Source organism: Homo sapiens, chromosome 5 (genome assembly GCF_000001405.40).
Source record: "Homo sapiens chromosome 5, GRCh38.p14 Primary Assembly".
Taxonomy (NCBI): Eukaryota; Metazoa; Chordata; class Mammalia; order Primates; family Hominidae; genus Homo; species Homo sapiens.
Genome location: NC_000005.10, coordinates 55373483 through 55394719, shown reverse-complemented (window position 1 = coordinate 55394719; position 21237 = coordinate 55373483). Strand labels below are relative to the sequence as shown.

The 21237-nt window shown below is 37.2% G+C and overlaps 1 protein-coding gene and 1 long non-coding RNA gene across 2 annotated transcripts in view; both read right to left on the bottom strand.

The window, feature by feature from the left end:
• Positions 1-21237, bottom strand: part of MTREX (Mtr4 exosome RNA helicase) — a 117591-nt gene that overhangs the window by 30860 nt on the left and 65494 nt on the right. Inside the window, exons 17-19 of the mRNA NM_015360.5 lie at positions 16234-16406; positions 15525-15593; positions 6618-6746 (exon numbers count right to left, since the gene is read on the bottom strand). Coding sequence (NP_056175.3) covers positions 6618-6746; positions 15525-15593; positions 16234-16406 — 371 coding nt within the window. The remainder of the gene's footprint in view (positions 1-6617; positions 6747-15524; positions 15594-16233; positions 16407-21237) is intronic.
• Positions 16512-16968, bottom strand: LOC107986415 (uncharacterized). The gene is made up of 2 exons (XR_001742668.2): positions 16726-16968; positions 16512-16629 (listed from the first exon to the last, which is right to left on the bottom strand). It is a non-coding gene; the product is annotated as an uncharacterized LOC107986415 (long non-coding RNA).

The following is a 21237-nucleotide window of genomic DNA, read 5'->3' as shown; positions in this document are numbered from 1 at the left end:
CTGGCTAATTCAGGGGTCCCCAAGCCCCGGGATGGTACCAGTCTGTGGCCTGTTAAGAACCAGGCCATGCAGCAAGAGTGGTGGGGGAGAGAGCATTACTGCCTGAACTCCCCCTCTTGTCAGATCAGCAGCAGCATTAGATTCTCATACCAGTGCAAACATGGCACATGCAAGGGATCTAGGTCGCCTGGTCGTTATGAGAATCTAAGGTCTGATGACCTGAGGTGGGACAGTTTCATCCCCAAACCACCCCTGCTCCACACTGGTCCATGGAAAAACTATCTTCCACAAAACCAGTTTCTTGTGCCAAAAAGACTGGGGACTGCTGGTCTAATTCATTTTAGAAACAACATTCTGTAAGCTGCATTGGGTCTTGGGCCACCAATTTGTGAACCAGCAGTTGATGCACTGTTTGGACAGAGAAGACTCAGGACATGAAAAATTATCAATACCACATAGCCGACATCCAGAGTGAAAGATGCACAATTTGTATGCACTTAACTACATCTAAAAAGGTAGAAAAATTAAAAATAATTCACTTGGCTTTAGAAAGAGTATTTTTATATACCTGTAGTCGAATTCAATATGCACAGGTATCTGTGAATTTCCTTCAAAACAGAGTAACACTATTTTGTGAAGACGAGATTCAGAAAGAAGACAAAAACTGTCCTATTTCAAAGGCTGCTTTCCATAATAAACTCCATCCAAGAAATGGTCAACTAACACTTTAATGACAGGAAACAGATTACAAAGGCCATTCTATAAATGCCTCCTAAAGCACAGAAAAGGGAAATCCTAAGAGTTCCCTAACTAGAAACATGACATTTTATAAACAAGAAGTTAAATGTTTAAAAATTGAATGAATAGTTGTCATGAAATTATAAATATCAAATTTCAGATATTTAAAAACATCATAATATTTGCATATGGCAGTTTATTCAATTTTCTAAACCTAATTACCTTCATGATATAACTCAGAATTCAGGTTCAACATGATGCAGCACTGGTCTTTGTAAGTCCAAATAACCATGTGAGCAATCAGTGGAAACTTGCTAGAATACCAATAACAGGAAGTATTTTTATCCTTAGACCTTTTAAATCTTTTTAATTTTCCCCTAAATAAGCAAATGTGGTAGACAATATAAGAAGCAAGTTTTAAGTCAATACATTCTAAATACATTTCAAGCTATATAATTTCTTCAAATCAAGACTATCACCTGAAACAAAATATGGTTTTTGAATTTTTCATTCAACAAGCAAGTTGTTTTTTGAACCAACTGAATTTTAATCAAGTCATGGCACACACAGTTATTTTAACCAATGTGCTATTGATTAATTTGCAATTAAAAAACTGGATTTGTGTCAGTGAAAATGGTGGAGTAAGGACCTCCAAAAATCCTTTTCTCCATAAAAGCAATGCCAACACTGAGAAAACTTGTCAAAATCAACTTCTTCAAAATTCTGGAAATTAACCAAAGGCTTGCAGGAATCCAGGGAGCATATATTCAAGAAAAATGCTGACTTTTGGTAAGAATAACAAGCTTTGTGGCAAATTTAACTTATCCTACTCCATCTCCCACTCCTTAGCTTCCTAATAGCCTGAAAATCAAAGAGCAAATCCCACTGAAAACCAGTATGGCAGCCACTGGAGGGGAGAGAATAGGGCTGGAACCTCTTTGAAGGCCTATTTCCATAGAATTGTCATTATTGCAGTCTGGTGGTTCCCCGGAAGACTCCATTCACAAGGCTGTTTTTTATTTGACCTGACTGAGAGCTTACCAGTGCAAACCTTTTTCCTGGCTGTGTTTGTCAAAAATAGTAAGAAGCAACTGCTTAACACCATGGCTGCCTGAGGTTGTGAATGACAGCTGGGAGAAACAACAGGTTAACCAGAAAGCTTAAAAGGAAAGGCTGGGGAGTAAGACATTCATGGGGAATTAGAAAAGCTCCCACACATTTCTGGAAATCTAGAAGGCCATGTACAGGGCTGTGTGCATAGTCAAGAAAGACCTGAAAAGACTCTAAGCTCTCACTTCTGTCTGACCATGAAACTGTACATCCAGGAAGCGGCTAAGGTAATGTTGTTAACTGCCTAGCTGAGGGTTGATGGCTTGCTGCAATATGCATACAAAGCCTCTAAGTAAAGACTGGGGAATTTTTTTTTTTTTTTTTTTTTTTAGACAGAGCCCTTCTCTGTCACCCAGGCTGAAGTGAAGTGACACAATCTTGGCTCACTGCAACCTCTACCTCCTGGGTTCAAGTAAGTCTCCTGCCTCAGCCTCTCGAATAGCTGAAGCTACCAGCGCACACCATCATGCCAGCTAATTTTTGTATTTTTAGTACAGATGGGTTTTGGCCACGTTGGCCAGGCTGGTCTCGAACTCCTGACCTCAAGTCATCTACCCACGTCAGCCCCTCAAAGTGCTGGGATTATGGCATGAGCCACCATGCCTGGCCAGACAGGAGAACTTAATGATTGCAGGCATTTAAGGAAGTCTCTGCACAATTATGAGCTGACCATTAAACTAACCAAGCAGAGACCTTGGTGGCCACACACAATTAAAAAATATAGACTTAAAATAATTCAGAAATGACAACACAAACCAGTGACAACAAATAACAAGAATAAACTCTGGGGGTGCAGGAAAATTCCGATTTACAGAGTTGCTACTGTTAGAGAACCAAACTGGGGCCCGCTTGCCTGCTGCAGTAAGACCAGATATCTACACTGAGGTTTGTAGTGGGAGAAAGGAAGGTGTTTATTTGTAGGGTGCCAAGCAAGGAGGATTAGGTAGTTAATATTTAAGTCCTGACCTTCCAGATGGCTTACAGGTTAAGGGTTTCTAAGGGCAGGAAGGCAGAAGTTACAGCAGTTATAAATCAATATATGGAGGTTATATACTGGTTTGATTTAAAAAGGCAGGACATCTCAAATCAGGGGCCCACAGGTTATAGGTGGATTTAAAGATTTTTGATTTGTAATTGGTTAAGGAGAAGTTTTGTCTAAAAATTTGGGATCAGTAGAAAAAAATGTTCATTCTGGCTCTTTTAGGCCCCTCAGGAAGAAATTTAGAACAAAGAACAGCAGTCAGAGTTTTAGTCCTCTGTTCCTCCTTATTTGAGGCTTATGTGCCAGTATATCTGTTTGGTGTATGTCTGAGTTTTTGAAAAATAATTTAGGGACATATGTGAAGATGTTATTTTTAGTTTTTATAGGGAATAAAACAAGCTCAACTCTACTATGTTTTTTTAGACAAAGAGATTGATTTTTTTGAGAGAGGGTCTTGCTCTGTTGCTCAGGCTGGAGTGCAGTGGCATGGTCACGGCTCACTGCAGCCCTAACCTCCTGGGCTCAAACGATCCTCCCACTTCAGCCTCCAAAACAGCAGGGACTACACGCACATGCCACCATGCCTGGCTAATTGTTATTTATTTATTTTTGTACAGACAGGGTTTCACTATGTTGCCCCAGGCTGGTCTTGAACTCCTGGGCTCAAGCAATCCTCCCACCTCAGTCTCCCAAAGTGCTGGGATTATAAGCATGAGCCACTATACCCAGCCTTGTTTATTTATTTTTTAGGTCTAAGCTAGGTGCACTCTAAAGGAAGGATCCCTAATCCATCTCACTACATTATTTAAAATGTCCAATTTTCAATGAAAAATTATGAGACATGTAAAGAAATTAATAAAGTATGACCTATACACAGAGAAAAATAGTAATTAATAGAAAATATCCTGAGGAAGCCAAGAAATTTGACTTAATAGACAAAGGGTTTAAATCAGCAATTTAAAATACGTTCAAAGTTGACCCCCTCAAAAAATCTGATTTCCATAGAACATCTTCAAGGTAAACTTGAAACCTGCCAAAACAGCAAATATTATTCCATGACAAGTACTGGTATCTTAATCCTCAAATTTTTATAAGTGTACAGTTCTAATCTGTAATCTTCTATTCCATGTCCTTTTATAGATGTTTTTATCTAATGAGGAATGATTCCACCTAGTTCCTGGTCTAGAAAAACAAAACAGAACTCCCTTATCTTCACTCCCTGACGCTGAGTCTCATTTAACTATCATGACGTGGCCATGATAAGGGGAAATGGTCAGACACATGGGAGCTGGCAAAGCAACAGTGTCAAAACTGCAAGTGATCTTTAGAACACACTAAACTGTTCACCTCTGTTAATCAATGTAATTCAGAGCTGGAGTGCTCTTGCCCTCTACACACAGACACACACACACTCTAAGCCTTTTTTAGAAAAGTAAGTTCAAGAATATTATAGATACAAGGAAAAGTCACTTCAGAAAGTAGTCTTCAAGGCCAGGTGCGGTGGCTCATGCACGTAATCCCAGCACTTTGGGAGGCTGAGACAGGCATATCATGAGGTCAGGAGATCAAGACCATCCTGGCCAACATGGTGAAACCCAGTCTCTAGTAAAAATACAAAAATTAGCCGGGCACGGCGGCGAACACCTGTAGTCCCAGCTACTCGGGAGGTTGAGGCAGGAGAATCACTTGGACCCAGGAGGCAGAGGTGGTAGTGAGCCAAGATTGTGCCACTGTACTCCAGCCTGGTGACAGAGCGAGACTCCATCTCAAAAAAAAAGAAAAAAGAAAGTAGTCTTCTATAAACGCTGATAAAAAGCTAAATTTGGCATCATATCCACTCAAAGTCAGACAGGGCAAGGATGATTATGGAAATCCTACTTACCTTATGCAATGGAAGCCTGCTTTTAACCTACCCTGAATAATGCTACACAATCAATGAAGTTGAGAGCTAATATTTCCTTATAAACTGCCCACATAACTATTTCTCTGTCTAGGATTTCTATTCAAGATAATCTACAAGGCAAACAATATATTTATAAAACATATATAATTATATGTAAATATATATAATATGGTTTCTTAACCTATAGTCCCTCTCTCTGTACATTGTTTCATGCCTTTTGTCATTAACCACAAGGAACAGAAAAATGTGAAGTTCTTTCTAAAGAGGGGGTTTCATGCTCTGTACATATGGCTTCCCTTGCTAGGAATATAATTCTTGTCTGTAAAGGTACTCATGTTCCTACAAGTTTGTTAAAATCTCACTACTTCCTTTATAAAGCTTTACTAATTACCCACCCTGAGCAGTTTTGAAGCACAAAATGCTTCCTTATTAAGCTGCATCCCCTTAAAGTCACAGAGTATCTGTAAAATTCATGTTAACAACCCCCCACCCCTTGCCAATTTCCTTAGCAGCGTAGACTGAAATAAACATAACAAAAAATGCTACAGGAGCAGAGGAAAGGCCCTCAGTTTGCCTTGGTTTCATGACTGCCTATATAATTTTCTTGGAAGAATCTGAGCTTTCAGTGTAAGAGTGCTATGACTTACTATCAATGTCTGCCATGAGAAAGGGAGAATGTTGAGATGTGTGGCACATATTTGCTATTCCAACTTGCAACAACTCCTAAAGGCCCTTTGGGGACAAAGAGTATATGCCTAACTGTGGGAGTTTTAGCCTTATTTATAGTTAGGCAGTCAATCAGTAAAATAAATGTTAGAAAAAAATAAAAATCACACAAGTTTCACTTGGTGGTGGAATTCTAGAGGTGAACAAATTAGAATACTAAGAAAAGGAGACCAAAGTTTAGGTAATATTCAGAATTATAAATAAACATTTAAATCGTCATTTAAAAATGTTACAGTGAATTGTCTTTTTAAAAATACTGCCAACTCCAAAACCCATAATAATTTATTGATCCAAAGAAGCAGTCTATGATACTACAGTGGCAGATTTTACTTTCTACAAACCATGCTTATAATAACAAATATCATTACAATGACATTTTGTAAAAGACCTATCCAATACGCCATATTTTACATTCAATTAGAAGCACATGTAAATTAAATGATTTTAACTAAGGAAACTTGGGTAGAAATTTTTCATTGTTAAAATAATGCTTCAGTCATTACAGAGCCTCCTCCTTAAAATTGGGTTATGTTCTGATAAACTAGTTGTAAGTAGAAAATATCGTTAGGTCAAAAATGTATTTAATACATGAACACCTAATGTACCAAACATAACTTGGTGTAGTTTACCTTAAATGTGCTAAGAACACTTACACTGGCTTACATTTGGGCAAAATCATCTAACACAAACCCTATTTTGTAATAAATGTTAAATATCTCATTAATGTATTACTTTTGCACTACTGTAAAGTCTAAAAATCCTAAATCAGGACTGCCTCTATTTCCATGGGAATGGGAAATAAACAGCATGAATGGATTCAAACTGTAAAATCACTCAGTCACAAGCAAGGATAATGAAAAATCTTTATGGCCCTGGCAAAATCCAGCTTCATGTAAAATTTCAATGACTGAATACTTTTTCTTTCACTTTGTCACGATTTATCTTGTTGTAATTTGATAAAAGAAAAATAAAAACAAATCTCATTAATTATCCTACTGATACGTTAGATAGCTTTACTAATATACCTTAAAATACCTTGAAAACTTCTAATTTAGAAATCATGATAGTATGTTCATTACCATCACATTGGAGAACTTTGGTGATGACAAATAAGTTACAGAATATCTGAAATCAGAAGACAGAAAGTTATGTACAAACCTGCATCTCTCCTTTCTCATCAGGTTTAGCTGGTTTTGCAGCTTCTGTAGCTGAATTTTTCAAGCTCTCTTTGCTACAGCGCAGAAGTACTTCTACTACATACAAAGGATCCAGTTCACCAGAGTTAGGCTAAAAAACAAAACAGAAGATGTTCATTCATTCTTAAGAAACTGGCCCATAAATTTTAAGTTCCATCTGTATAGGAACTATTTTCTCAGCATTTAGCATTATGACTGACACAAACTGTGTAATACATACTTATTTTATGAAATGAAAACTGTCTCTCTGGATTCAACATGTTCCATTGGATGAGAAAACACAGAAATAACTTTATATTTATAAATTCTAATTTAATAGTACAAGCACTGTCAAGTGTGTCACAGAATGTTTCTAATAATGTTAAGAAACTAAAATTTTCAGTGTCAGAAAATTAATTTGCATCTTCAAATCACTCTAACATAATAGATTGAGAATAGATTATTTTATTGCTTATTATGCTAGCATTTCTATAATGTGGTTCCAATTTTTATTGTCTTTTAGTCTTTAATATTCTGTAATAAAACTATAATTCTGAAGATCTAACAACTACTAAGATCTCACAACTTCTGCACTATGATAATGTATGTTTGAGTAGCATCTTTGAAGCAATAACAGAAGATATTTTTTCAGTACAGAATGCCGCATTTTTAAATAAAATATTTAAATAATCTGTTTTGCATAAAATATACAAAAGGAAAGTTATACAGCAAAGACTTGACTATGTGGACTCCACCCAGGACAGTTCCTATTAAAAAAGTGAAAATCTGTCAATAAATGACAACGAATCCATTTCTACAATCTATTTCTGCAATAAACTACCAACTGTTTAACAAGAATAAAACATATTTCCAAATGCTGAAGAAAAAAGAAATCACAATTGTTTTAAATCATTGAGTTCAAATTTCCTCAAAGAAAGCATACACTCTATTTTTCCAATACGAAAGAAAAACTTTTTCTCATCATACATTAGTTCAAAATGTGGTTATTTTAAAGGAAGCTGCAAAACATTCCTTAGTTTAAACACAAAGCAAAAATGAAGATAGTTTGATTAGATTATTTTTATCTGCAAAGATTATGTTCAGTCATTATGAAATGAGTTTTACAAACAATGAGCTAAACAAATAGCTATGATCAACTATCAAGTCTTCCTAAGGAGTCAATGATTATAAGAAGACTCAAGGATTATCACATTAGCTTTACAGAGGAGGAAAAAAACCCTCTGAATAAGATGCATAACACAATGTGATAGATGAATTAGCTCCAAGGTGTTAGGAAGATGTGAGTATCTGGACAAAAAAACCCCACAGGCGTATGAGCAATCTTTAATGTTTCTAGATAACTCTGTTGTTGGATTTGGTTCCAATTTTGTAGATTAATAAATTTAATATTCTCTGTAAGATATAACAATCACAGAAGTGACTATTATAACTCAAGTATATCATACATAATCATCTATTTTTGCAGAGCTACTAAAACCAACTTATAGCATTATGGAAATATTCTCAAGTGTTACTATGGAAACACAATAGGAAGCCTTCTAAATTGTAACATTAAATGAAAATTTTGCTGTTAAAAGTATTTCCTAAGATTATAAATTTTTTCTCAGCTAACTTACTCTAGTTTTGCACTCTGTAAAGATGGATCAATGTCCACTTTCAGATAAAAAAACTAGTTAAGTGTTCTATTATCTTAATTTAGATTTTTGTTTTTAAGTCCTAATTTTTACTTCCTAACAGTATAACTGAACTTCTTTTTCCTAGCTTCTCTTTATTCCTTTTAAAGTGTGGCTAATTTCTTGCTATAAACTGAAATTACCTAATTAAAACATAATTTGGTAATCCCGAGCTTGTAGAATGCAAAGAAACAAGCAATTTAAAATAACATTGACAATTACAATTACATTTTTATTTATTTAAAATGCTTCTAACAGTTTTCTTCGTCGGTTTGGATACTCCCTCTGCCTCTGGCAAGCTCTATTGGCCACAAAAATCTTTGGATTTGTATTCTGACCTAGATCCCAAAATTAATAAAAATGTACTTCACATTTTTAGTGAACAAATTCAGGTAGTGCAATGGAAAAATTAGTTTCACCATCAATAGAAACAGAAAAAAATGAATGTGTTCCTCTCTAGTCCTCATTCTATCTTTGCCTAAAAGAACTCTCATCAACTGATTCTACCTTTATAGTTAGGCAGTCACAGAAATGAATTTAGGATCAAAAGAGGCAAGTAATTTTTTAAAAATATGTCTTTTGTGTGTGTATGCGTACTTGTAACTATGTTAGCTATAATTTTTCTCTCCTGAACCTTTGACTGACTACCATGTGATCCACAAGCCTGCTCCCCAGCAACTGAAGAAAATTATGAAAAACCAATCATTTAAATTTTCTGGAAACAGTCCTAAGAGAATATATCAAATAAAGAAAGATCTAGTCCAAAAAAAAATCTAAAATTCAGTAAAGTCTTTGATATCTGAAAAAAGATCACTCCCTTCCTCACTCTTCCCACTTCACTGAAACAGAAACTCCAGACTGGTGAAGCCAAAAATACAGAAGGGCTCAGTATCCCTGCAGCTCTTGCTTGGAAAGGGCTTTTAGGAGGGGCAGGATGTCAACATTTCTCATTCTCCTCCCACCTACCTGTTGCTGCTGCTAAGTCCTCTGCAAGTAAGGCTGAAAGGTAGAGGCTCCCCTTCGTTCACCTAGCCTCTACTGGTTGGCCAGAGGCTCTATCTTGGTGTGGTGCTCCTGAGAAAAAGGGCCCCAACAGCCCTTCCCCTGGTTTATAAGGCAATGGGTCCATGTTGGGAGAGGCAAGATGAAAATACCTGAGGCTACACCCCAACCCTCCACCTATGCCCCTGCTTCTAAAGCAGTGATGTTACTCAGAGAAAAGTGTGCATTCTCCCCACCCCCAGCTTTAGAATTTTGACTCAGAGACTTTGCCTGGGTGAAGAAATATGCCTTAAAACAGACAACTCTTAATATCTTCCCAAAGGACCAGATTTTATTTGTAACAGAGCCTGAGGAAATTCAAGACTAAGATAACTTTCAGAAACAGCAGAGGTTGTGGTGAAATGCAACTGGTAGATCTGTATTCATTGGAGATATAGGCTAAATTGTACAGCAGATAGTTTGCAGAAGAGAACCTGGTTTTAAAAATGATAGTGGGAGGAGCCCTCCTGCTAACAGAGCTCCTGGGTATGCCCAGAGAAAGGTAAAGTCACAGAGACCCCTGTCCAAACCATTGTCATCTCAGGGTGACTGTGGGCATAACCAAGGCTGTGACCCCCAACTCTACCCCAGAAACAAACTAAAAGGCTACATACTATAGGGGGTAAGAGGTAGACAGGACAGAGACTTACAATCAAATAATCCAGCCCGACACTAAACAAATAAACAAGGAAATAACAACAGTGGCCTGCAAGAGGTGGAGGCAGGGAGGGGAATACCTAGAGTTACTACAATATATTATCAAAAAAGAGACATGCAAAGAAACAGGAAAGTTATGACCCATAGAACAGGGAAAAATGTAGGCAACAGAATTTGCCTGTAATAGTGACCAGATGTTAGGCTAAAGAGACTTAAAAGTTGCCACTATAAATATATTCAAAGAATCAAGGGAAATCACAATTAATGAAGTAAAAGGTACAATAACAATGTTGTATCAAACAGAACATATCGATGAAGAAACAGAAAGTACAAAAAGAAACCAAAAGCAAATTTTAGAGTTTCAAAGTCTATTTACCGAAGTGAGGAAAATTACTAGAGGAGCCCAACAGTAGATCTGAACTAGCAGATAATATCAACAGTGAATCTGAAGATAGACTATTGATGGAGATTATGCAATCCCAAGAACAGAGCAAGAACAAACAAATAAAAATGAACCAAGCCTCAGAGAAATATAGGACACCATTAAGTGCAACATACCCATAATGGAAGTTCCAGGGGAGAGGTTTAGAAAAAGAAGTAGAAAAATATTCAAAGAAATAATGGCCTGGGCACAGTGGTTCACAAATGTAATCCCAGGACTTTGAGAGACCAAGGCGGGAGGATTGCTTGAGCCTAGAAGTTTGAAACCAGCCTGGGCAATGTAATGAGACCTGGTCTCTACAAAAATTGTTTAAAGTTAGCCAGGCATGGTGGTGCACACCTGTAGTCCCAGCTACTCAGGAGGCTGAGGTGGAAGGATTGCTTGAGCTCAGGAGTTTGAGGCTGCAGTAAGCCATGATTGCACCACTGCACTCTAACCTAGGTAACAGAGTGAGACCCTGTCTCTAAAAATGACAAAACAAAAACAGAAATAGTGGCTGAAAACTTCTCAAAATTTACTGGAAAAAAAAATTCATCTACATAGCCATAAAATTCAATAAAGTACAAGTAGGATAAAGGCAAAGAAGTTTGGTCACTTTCTATGCAGATACATTTATCATAATAAAAATGTGGAAAGCCAAATCAAAAAGAGAAAATCTTAAAGCAGCAAGAGAAAAAAAGATTAATCTCTTACAAGGGAACTTCAACAAGACTAACAGCAAAAACTTCTCAGCAGAAACAATGGAGGCCAGAAAGCAATGAGTTGACATATTCAAAGAAAAAAACAAACAACTGTTAACCAAGAATCCTATATCCAGCAAAGTTACCTTTCAAAAATGAAGGCAAAATAAAGACATTTTCAGATAGACTAAAAACTGAGAAAATCTGTTTCTGGCAGATCCACCTTACAAGAAACACAAAAAGAAGTTCTGCAGGCTAAAATCAAGTAATACTAGACATTTATTTTAAACTACATAATAAAATAAAGAACACTGGTAAAGGTAATTATATAATTATAAAAGATAGAAATAAATGTCTTTTTCTCTTCAATGATTTAAAAAGCAGTTGTATAAAACAATATGTATACATTATATTATTGAGCCTGTAACATACCAAAATATAGTATCTTGGCAGTAACAACATAATGGAAGTAGGTGGGAGCAAAACTGTTTAAGGTTAAGGCAGTAACTCCAGGTAGTAACATGAATCCACAGGAACAAATAGAACCAAAAATGATAAATAAGAAGGTTAATATAACAAAAGCTATATATACACACTGGCTTTCCTTTCTTCTATAAGCTTTAAAAGTAATAAAAAGTGGCCAGGCATGGTGGCTCACGCCTATAATCCCAGCACTTTGGGAGGCTGAGGCAGCTGGATTACCTGAGGTTAGGAGTTTGACATCAGTCTGGCCAACATGGTGAAACACTGTCTCTACTAAAAATACAAAAAATTAGCTGGGTGTGGTGGCGTGAGCCTGTAATCCCAGCTACTTGGGAGGCTGAGGCAGGAGAATCACTTGAACCTGGGAGGCGGAGGTTGCCCTGAGCTGAGATTGTGTCACTGCACTCCAGGCTGCCTGGGCGACAGAGTGAGACTTCATCTCAAAAAACAAAAAAACAAAAAAAAACCATAAATGATTTTCAAAAAGTAATAAAAAATTTTCAAAAAGCAATAAAAAGTACATAAAGTATTAATCATAATAATGTATTGCTGGATTTGTAACATTTATAGATGTAATATGTATAACCATAAAAAGAGAGAAAATAGAATAGAGCTATACAGAAATAACACCTCTATATCACACTGGAATTCAGTCAGTGTAAACCTAAAGCTTATTCTAATAATACGTATATGGAAAGCCCCAGCAAACACTAAGAAAATCTCTCTCTCTCGCTATATAAATATACATATATATACATGTACACATACATACATACATGTGTATATATATGAAATCTTTAAAAAATTAAAATGCCACATTAGAAAAAATTCACATGATACAAAAGGAAGCAGTAAAAGAAGAGAAAACAAAGACACAAGACACAGAAAACAAAAATTAAAATGGCAGCTGCAAATCCAACTATATCAGTAATAAAACTCAATGTGAACAGATTAAGCAATCCAAAAAAGGAATAGATTTTCAGATTGGATTAAAAAAAACAAAATCCAACTGCTGTGTATGCTGTGTACAGGAGACACACTTTAAATTTACTGATATAAACAAGACTGAAAATTTAAAAATGGGAAAAAATATTATGCAAAGAATAATCAAAAGAAAGCTCAAATAGCTATGCTGATACAAAACAAAATACATTTTAACAGAGCTTGAAAACACATGAAGCAAAAACTGATAGAAATGAAGGGAAAAATAGATAATACAACAACAATAGTTACGAGACTTCAATACTCCACTTTCAATAATAGATAGACCAACCAGACAGAATGGTCTGCAAAGAAAGAAGTCTAAGACCTGAAGTTCTAAACCAACTAGACCTAAAGGACATCTATAAAACATCCCACCTTAAAGCAGCAGAATACACATTTTTCTCAACTGCACATAGAACATTCTGCAGGACAGACCATGTCAGGCCATTAAGCAAACTTAGAACAATTCAAAACTACTGAAAGAATTCCAAGTACATTCTCGACAAAAACAAAATTAGAAATAATAAAGACAAAAATTTGGGAAATTAACAAGTATGTGAACATTAACACTCTCCTAAATAACCAATGGGTTAAAGAAGAAATCAAAAGGGAAATTAGAAAATACTTTGAGATTAATGAAAATGATAAAATATACTAAAATTTATGGAATACAGCTAAAGCGTCTGTAGAGGGAAATTTATAATTGTAAAACCTCTATAATTGTAAAAGCTCTATTTAAAAAGAAGAGGTATCTCAAGTTAATAACCTAATCTTCTACCTTAACACGTTGAAAAAAGAACAGTAAACTGAACCTGTAGCCAGAAGAAAGAAAATTAAAAAGATGGGGCATAACCTAATGAAATAGAGACAGAAAAATAGAGGGAAAAAAAATCAGTAAAACCAAAAGCTCATTGAGAAGATTAACAAAATTGACAAACTTTACCCAGAAGAAAGATTTAAACTACTAGGTCAGATATGAAAGAGACACTACTAATGACCATACAAAAATAAAAAGGATTATAAAATAATACTACGAATAACTGTATATCAATAAATTACAGACAATCTGAAGAACATGCCATACCAAGTAGAAATTGACTTAGTAATCTCTTAGTAAAGTACCCATAAAGAAGAGCACAGGCCGAAGTGGCCTCATTGCCAAGTTCTACCAAATATTTAAGAAGTTTTGAATGTGATGAAGATATTGGGAAAAAATATTTAATACCAGTTCTTCAAAACCTCTTCCAAAAAATGGAAGAAAAGGGGAACACTTCCTAACTCATTCTATGAGGCCTGCATTACCCTAATACCAAACCCAAACAAAGATGTCACCAAGAAAACAACAAACCAACATCTCCTATGAATACTGGCATGAAAAATCCTCAGTATTTCCTATGAATACGGCATAAAAAATCCTCAAAAACATACTACCAACTGAATCCCGATACATAAAGAAAATAATATATCATGACAAACTGGGATTTATCTCAGAAATCCAGTCATGTTAACATCTGAAAACCAGTTAATGTAATATATCATATCAGAATACAAAATAGAATAAAAAGCAAAAATCACATGATCACCTCAATAGGCACATAAGAAATATTTGACATAATATTTATCTTTCATGAGAAAAACACTCAACACACCAGGAACAGAAAGAAATTTTCTCTATTTCTGGGGGATATGGAAGGACAGGTGAATGACATATGTTTCTTTTTGAGATGATGAAAATGTTCTACAATTGACTGTGGTGATGGTTGCACATATCTGCAAATATACTAAATGTCACTGAGTCATACACCCTAACCGGGAAAATTGTAGAGTGTGTATCATCTCCATAGAACTGTTTAAAAAAAGAAACAGGCCGGGCGTGGTGGCTCATGTCTGTAATCCCAGCACTTTGGGAGGCCGAGGCGGGCAGATCACAAGGTCAGGAGTTCGAGACCATCCTGCCTAACACGGTGAAACCCGTCTCTACTAAAAATACAAAAAAAAAAAATTAGCTGGGCTTGGTGGCAGGCACCTACAGTCCCAGCTGCTCAGGAGGCTGAGGCAGGAGAATGGCATGAAACCGGGAGGCGGAGATTGCAGTGAGCCGAGATCGTGCCACTGTACTCCAGCCTGGGCGACAGAGCGAGACTCCGTCTCAAAAGAAAAAGAAAAAAAATAAACAAAAAATGTAAAACCTAAGGTGAAAGGAATCTACAGCACTTCAGTATAGGTAAAAATATTCTGCCTTAGCAAAATTCTCTTACAAACAAGTTATGGAATGAGTAAACTGGCAAAGGCATGCTAGCTTTTCCATCTTGGGTTACGTAAATGTCCATGAAACCACTGTATTTAGCACTCAATGTCACACTTCCAACTCCACATAAAAAGAGAATTTAATAGCTGTCAGAGAGGCTTAAATAAAGACTACTCTGTCCAGTTAACCTCATCTCCTGCAAGGAAGATCACAGCTACATGAAAACAATGCATGTGTCTCTCTGAGTGTGTGTGTGTGTGTGTGTGTGTGTGTGTGTGTGTGTCAGGGAGATTTGGGGAGTGGAAGGAAAGCACCACCACCATTTAATAGTTTTCTCATGGTTGAGGTGATACACAGAAAATATAAAGGACTGGCTTGGTGCGGTGGCTCACACCTGTAATCCCAGCACTTTGGGAGGCCGAGGCAGGTGGATCACCTGAGGTTAGGAGTTCAAGACCAGCTTGGCCAACATGGCAAAACCCCATCTCTACTAAAAATACAAAAATTAGCCGGGTGTATTCCAAAAATTAATTCCTCATGGCAGAATTTATTACTGCTTCTCTTCAGGTAATATTATTTCTTCTTAGACCGATTTCATAAGCCTTAAAAAACATTTCACTAAAAATTGATATACAATTCTAATTTAAAGATAATAGTTTACCTTAACATTTGACTTTTTTGAGAAATTCACCACTACTCCCCAGCCAAAGTCATCTCCTTCATTCTTTACCTAAAAAGAAAGAAAAGCAAGTAAGCAAGAATCAAATGTATATCTACAAGGCAATTTCAGCCTTTCACACCTACATTCTAGACTAATAAAGCTTTCTGAATTTTCTGATAAAATATCTTTGAAAGAGCACTGCTAAATTTAAGAAACAAGATATCAACCCTGCAGGAAAAAAATCAATGCCAAATTTCATTTTAGAAATTGCCCCTAGGACAGCAATAACAGGAATCTCTCAGTTGGCAAATGAATGCTGAAAATGACAGAATGTTCCAAGGATATAAATCATTTATATCTAATGAATTCATCCAGAACTTAAAATTGCCTTATTTTTCATATAGTTATATGAATAGTTATATGAACAGTTATAGTTAGCATTTCATAACTAGAAATATTTTATATGTTAATTCCAAAACTATCTACTTCAATTTATAGTCCCCAAAACAAAAACCAGTGGTGATTAAAAGGCCTTTGCATAAGCCCCTAAGTTAGTGCCATGTGAAACAGGTAAAATAATATGATTAATATAGATCAACTATTGTAGCAGGAAGCATTTTATCAGAATAAAAAATAAATTAGAATCTTTAACAAAAATATGTTTAAATATTGAATTATTCAAGTATTTTATGAAGAAACAATGACATACCTTTACCAAACGACCTGGTTGTAGAAAAGGTAAGCAGTATTTTGGTTTGTGAATATATTCTTCAATTTCTTTACCCAATTTGGCAAGCTGCTGTCTAATCTTATAATAGATAACCACACTTTCTTCATTGGGAATTACTATTTTATTATACTGTTCTTCTGAATTCTTTACCTCTGTAAATAGAACACATGTACAAAATTAAAAGGTTATACATCTTATTTAAATTATACCCAAGACATAGGATTTTTTCTATTAGGTTGGTGCAAGTGTAGTTGCGGTTTTTGTTTACCTTCCACCTTCCTGTAAGTCTCTATGTGTTCATCTATCCAAAAGCTCCCCAAACCCTGTCCTCTTGTGCCTTTTATGGAGGCTTTATTGGATAGACATGACTGACAACTGCAAAGAAATGTGGTTGGTTACAATCTATTACTAATAGACTGAGTGGGAAAACCCAGCAAGATCTGCCCATTATGATTTTTTTTTTTTTTGCACCTTTCCGTATAGCATTTCTTCCTCCAAGGTATGACTCAGGATCTCTTTTCAAATGAGTGCCTTGTGACCTAAAATCAGACAAGGTAGGTCAGAGAATTTTTTTAGGTCAGTCTCTAAAACAGAAAAGCTGGAGATGATTCCTGCCTTGGGGAGAAAAAGCAGCAGGTGAAAGGAAGGCAGCAGAAGGTCAGAGAGAGAATCTATCTTCTGGGACCTGCTTCTGACCCAACATTATAACAAAAGACTAACAAAGGCTATGGGAGTTATAAACCAGGAACCATGGACAAAAACCAACCAATAAATCACAGGCCACACCCTGGTTTTTTGTTAATATGGAACTCATATTAACAGGATATATAATTTCAAAGATATTGGCATATTATTAGACTTGTATTTAGTCATTAATTAGATCAGTCTACCATTAAATGATATGAATATATCTCTTAGGGTGAGGCCATGCAGGTTTGCAGGCTTTTATTTGATCTTGCCTGGTTTTAAAAGTAGGAGTCATCTTGGCAAATATATAGTTTCATATTTTTAGGCATTTGGTATAATTGAACTAGGATATAACTGTTTTGAGCTTCTTTAGAGGTATTAACTAATATTGGATTTTTAAAATGTGTAATTCCGTTTTTAAAATCCATAGCCTTTTTTCTTCTTTTTTTTTAGAGACGGAGTCTCGCTCTGTCGCCCAGGCTAGAGTGCAGTGGCGTGATCTCGGCTCACTGCAAGATCTGCCTCCCGGGTTCACACCACTCTCCTGCTTCAGCCTCCCGAGTAGCTGGGACTACAGGCGCCCGCTACCATGCCCAGCTAATTTTTGTATTTTTAGTAGGGACGGGTTTCACCATGTTAGCCAGGATGGTCTCGATCTCCTGACCTCATGATCCACCCGCCTCGGCCTCCCAAAGTGCTGGGATTACAGACATGAGCCACCAAGCCCGGCCTTTAGCTTGTTTTTTTTGAGACAGTCTTGGCTCACTGCAACCTCAGCCTCACAGGTTTAAGTGATTCTCCTGCCTCAGCCTCCTGAGTAGCTGAGATTATAGGCGTGCCACACCATGCCCAGCTAATTCTTGTATTTTTAGTAGAGACGGGGGTTTCACCATGTTGGCCAGGCTGGTTTTGAACTCCTGACCTCAAGTGATCCACCTGCCTTGGCCTCCCAAAGTGCTAGAATTACAGGCGTGAGCCACCACACCCGACCTATAAAATCTATAGTTTTTAAATACCCTCCCTTCTTTTTAAAAAAAATCTATGGAAGGGACATCAGAATTGGCCACAATGTTGGTCTAGATTTTAGGCAGCAAGAGTAGCCTAGCACTATGTCCTCCACATTGTATTCTATTTAGATGTGATAAGGTTATACAGGTATAGAACTAGTGCCATTTCATTAATGAAGTGCTACAGCAAATTCTAAAAAGATCTAAGAGATTTGTTTTCACTTTAATCGCTGTTATCATGGGCCTCATTACAGTCACTGCAATGGCCACCACTGCTGGAATGGCATTACACCAATCCATTCAAACGGCTCATTTTGTTAATGATTGGTAAGCCAATTCCACCCAAATGTGGAATTCTCAACAAGGCATCGATCAAAAATTGGCAAATCAATGATTTAAGACAGTCTGTTATTTGGCTTGGAGATCGGGTAATGAGTCTTGAACGTCGCATGCAAATGCAGTGCGATTGGAATACTTTGGATTTCTGCATCACCCCATATTCCTATATGACTGATCATTCATGGGAAATGGTCAAAGGACATCTTCTAGGTAGGGAAGATAATTTATCATTGGACATAACTAAATTAAAGCAACAAATTTTTGAAGCCCCTCAAGCTCACTTATCCATTGTGCCTAGAGCTGAGGCGTTAGATCAGGTGGCAGAAAATCTTTATGGATTAAACTCCACGACTTGGATTAAGTCTACTGGGGGCTCCACTATAGTAAATTTTGGAACTATGTTTCTCTGTTTAATCGGCTTGTTTTTAGTGTGCCAGACCAGTCAAGGAATCCTGTGTCAAAATCGAGAGAACGAACAAGGCTTCATCGCCATGGCACATTTATATAACAAGAAAGGGAGAGATGTTGCGGGAAGACAGGGACCCCAAACGGAGGGACCAGCTGAAGCTGTGGCAGAAGAACGTAGATTGTGAAGATTTCATGGACATTTATTAGTTCCCCAAATTAATACTTTTGTAATTTCTTATGCCTGTCTTTACTGCAATCTCTAAACATAAATTGTAAAGATTTCATGGACACTTATCACTTCCCCAATCAATACCCTTGTGATTTCCTATGCCTGTCTTTACTTTAATCTCTTAATCCTGTCAGCTGAGGAGGATGTATATCGCCTCAGGACCCTGTAATAGTTGCATTAACTGCACAAATTGTACAACATGTGTGTTTGAGCAACATGAAATGTGGGCACCTTGAAAAAAGAACAGGATAAGAGCAATTGTTCAGGGAATAAGAGAGATAACCTTAAACTCTGACCGCCAGTGAGCCGGGCAGAACAGAGCCATATTTCTCTTCTTTCAAAAGCAAATGGGAGAAATATCGATGAATTCCTTTTCTCAGCATGGAACATCCCTGAGAAAGAGAATGCACACCTAGGAGTAGGTCTCTGAACTGTCCCCCCTGGGGCGTACCTGTCTCTTATGTTCGAGACTGCCGGGGTGAAATAGACCCCAGTCTCCCATAGCGCTCCCATGCTTATTAGGTAGAGGAAATTCCTGCCTAATAAATTTTGGTCAGACCGGTTGATCTCAAAACCCTGTCTCCTGATAAGATGTTATCAATGACAGTGGTGCCCGAAACTTCATTAGCAATTTTAATTTCGCCCTGGTCCTGCGGTCCTGTGATCTCGCCCTGCCTCCACTTGCCTTGTGATATTCTATTACCTTGTAAAGTACTTGATGTCTGTGACCCACACCTATTCACACACTCCCTCCCTTTTTGAAACTCCCTAATAAAAACTTGCTGGTTTTTGTGGCTTGTGGGGCATCACGGAACCTACCGACATGTGATGTCTCCCCTGGACGCCCGGCTTTAAAATTTCTCTCTTTTGTACTCTGTCCCTTTATTTCTCAAGCTGGCCAACGCTTAAGGAAAATAGAAAAGAACCTATGTAAATATTGGGGCAGGTTCCCTGATAATTAGGCAAATAGTTGTATTGGTTTTCGGTCTATTTTGTCAGATGGGATGAAGGTACAATTCATCCTATATGGCTCTTAGGAATTTTGATAAAAGGGTTAAATATATAGTTGCAGTTTTCTGTTTAGGAATTATCTCTTTTTAGCATTTGTAGTTGTAGCCCTGGTCTTAGGACCATTCTATCAGGTAAAGAAGGAAACAAAGTTGTTCTTTTGAGGTACTGTGTTTTAAGAAACACAAGTGTTTTTTTGGCTAGGCACAGTGGCTCACACCCATAATCCCAACACTCTTGGGAGGCTGAGGCAGGAGCAGGATACCTTCAGCTCAGGAGTTCAAGACCAGCCTGGGAGAGACAGTGAGATTCCATCTCTACAAAAATAAAAAATTAGGTTGGTGTGATGGTACACACCTGTGGTCCTAGCTACTTGGGAGGCTGAGGTTGGAGGATTCCTTGAGCCCAGGAGGTTGAGGCTACAGTGAGCTATGATTTTGCCAGTGCACTCCAGTCTGGGCAACAGAGTGAGACCCTGCCTCCAAAAAAAAAAAAATTGTTTATATATATATATATATATATAAATGTTTTTTGAGACAGTCTTGCTCCGTTGCCCAGGTTAGAGTTCAGTGGCACAATCTTGGCTCACTGCAACCTCTGCCTCCTGGGTTCATCCAATTCCCTGCCTCAGCCTTCTGAGTAACTGGAATTACAGGTGTGCGCCACCACATGTGGCTAAATTTTGTATTTTTAGTAGAGACAGGGTTTCGCCATGTTGGCCAGGCTGGTCTTGAACTCCTGGCCTCAAGTGATCCACTCACCTCAGTCTCCCAAAGTTCTGGCAGGCATGAGCCACCATGCCTGGCATTTTTTGTATTTTTTATGTTACATAACAGTAACTAACACAGAAGAAGCCTTCTGTGACTCAATATGTGAGGGTTTTTCTTCCCCACACACCAAGCAGTGGATGCCAGCTGGGTGTCCTCTAATTTAATTTTGACATTATCCACCTGGAGACAGCATCAGGTCTCACAGGTTGAGAGTTCAGTCCCCAAGACTGCCCCCACCCCTACCCCCACTAGTCACAGGTTAAGGTCTCCAAAATTTTAGACACTAGTCACAAGTCCTAAGTTTAGACACTAGTCACCAGTTAGGGCCTCCAAAAAATTTAACAAATTGAAATTTTTACAACTTCCTCTTTATGTCTGATTATTTGTGTGTGTGTGAGTAGCTCACAAAACTCAAAAAAACACATTTATCAGTTTATTACAAAAATATTTTTAAAAATAGATAAAAAAAATATAAGACAAAGTCTAAAAAGGTCCTAAACACAAGAGCTTTTGTCCACACAGAGATGGAGTGCAC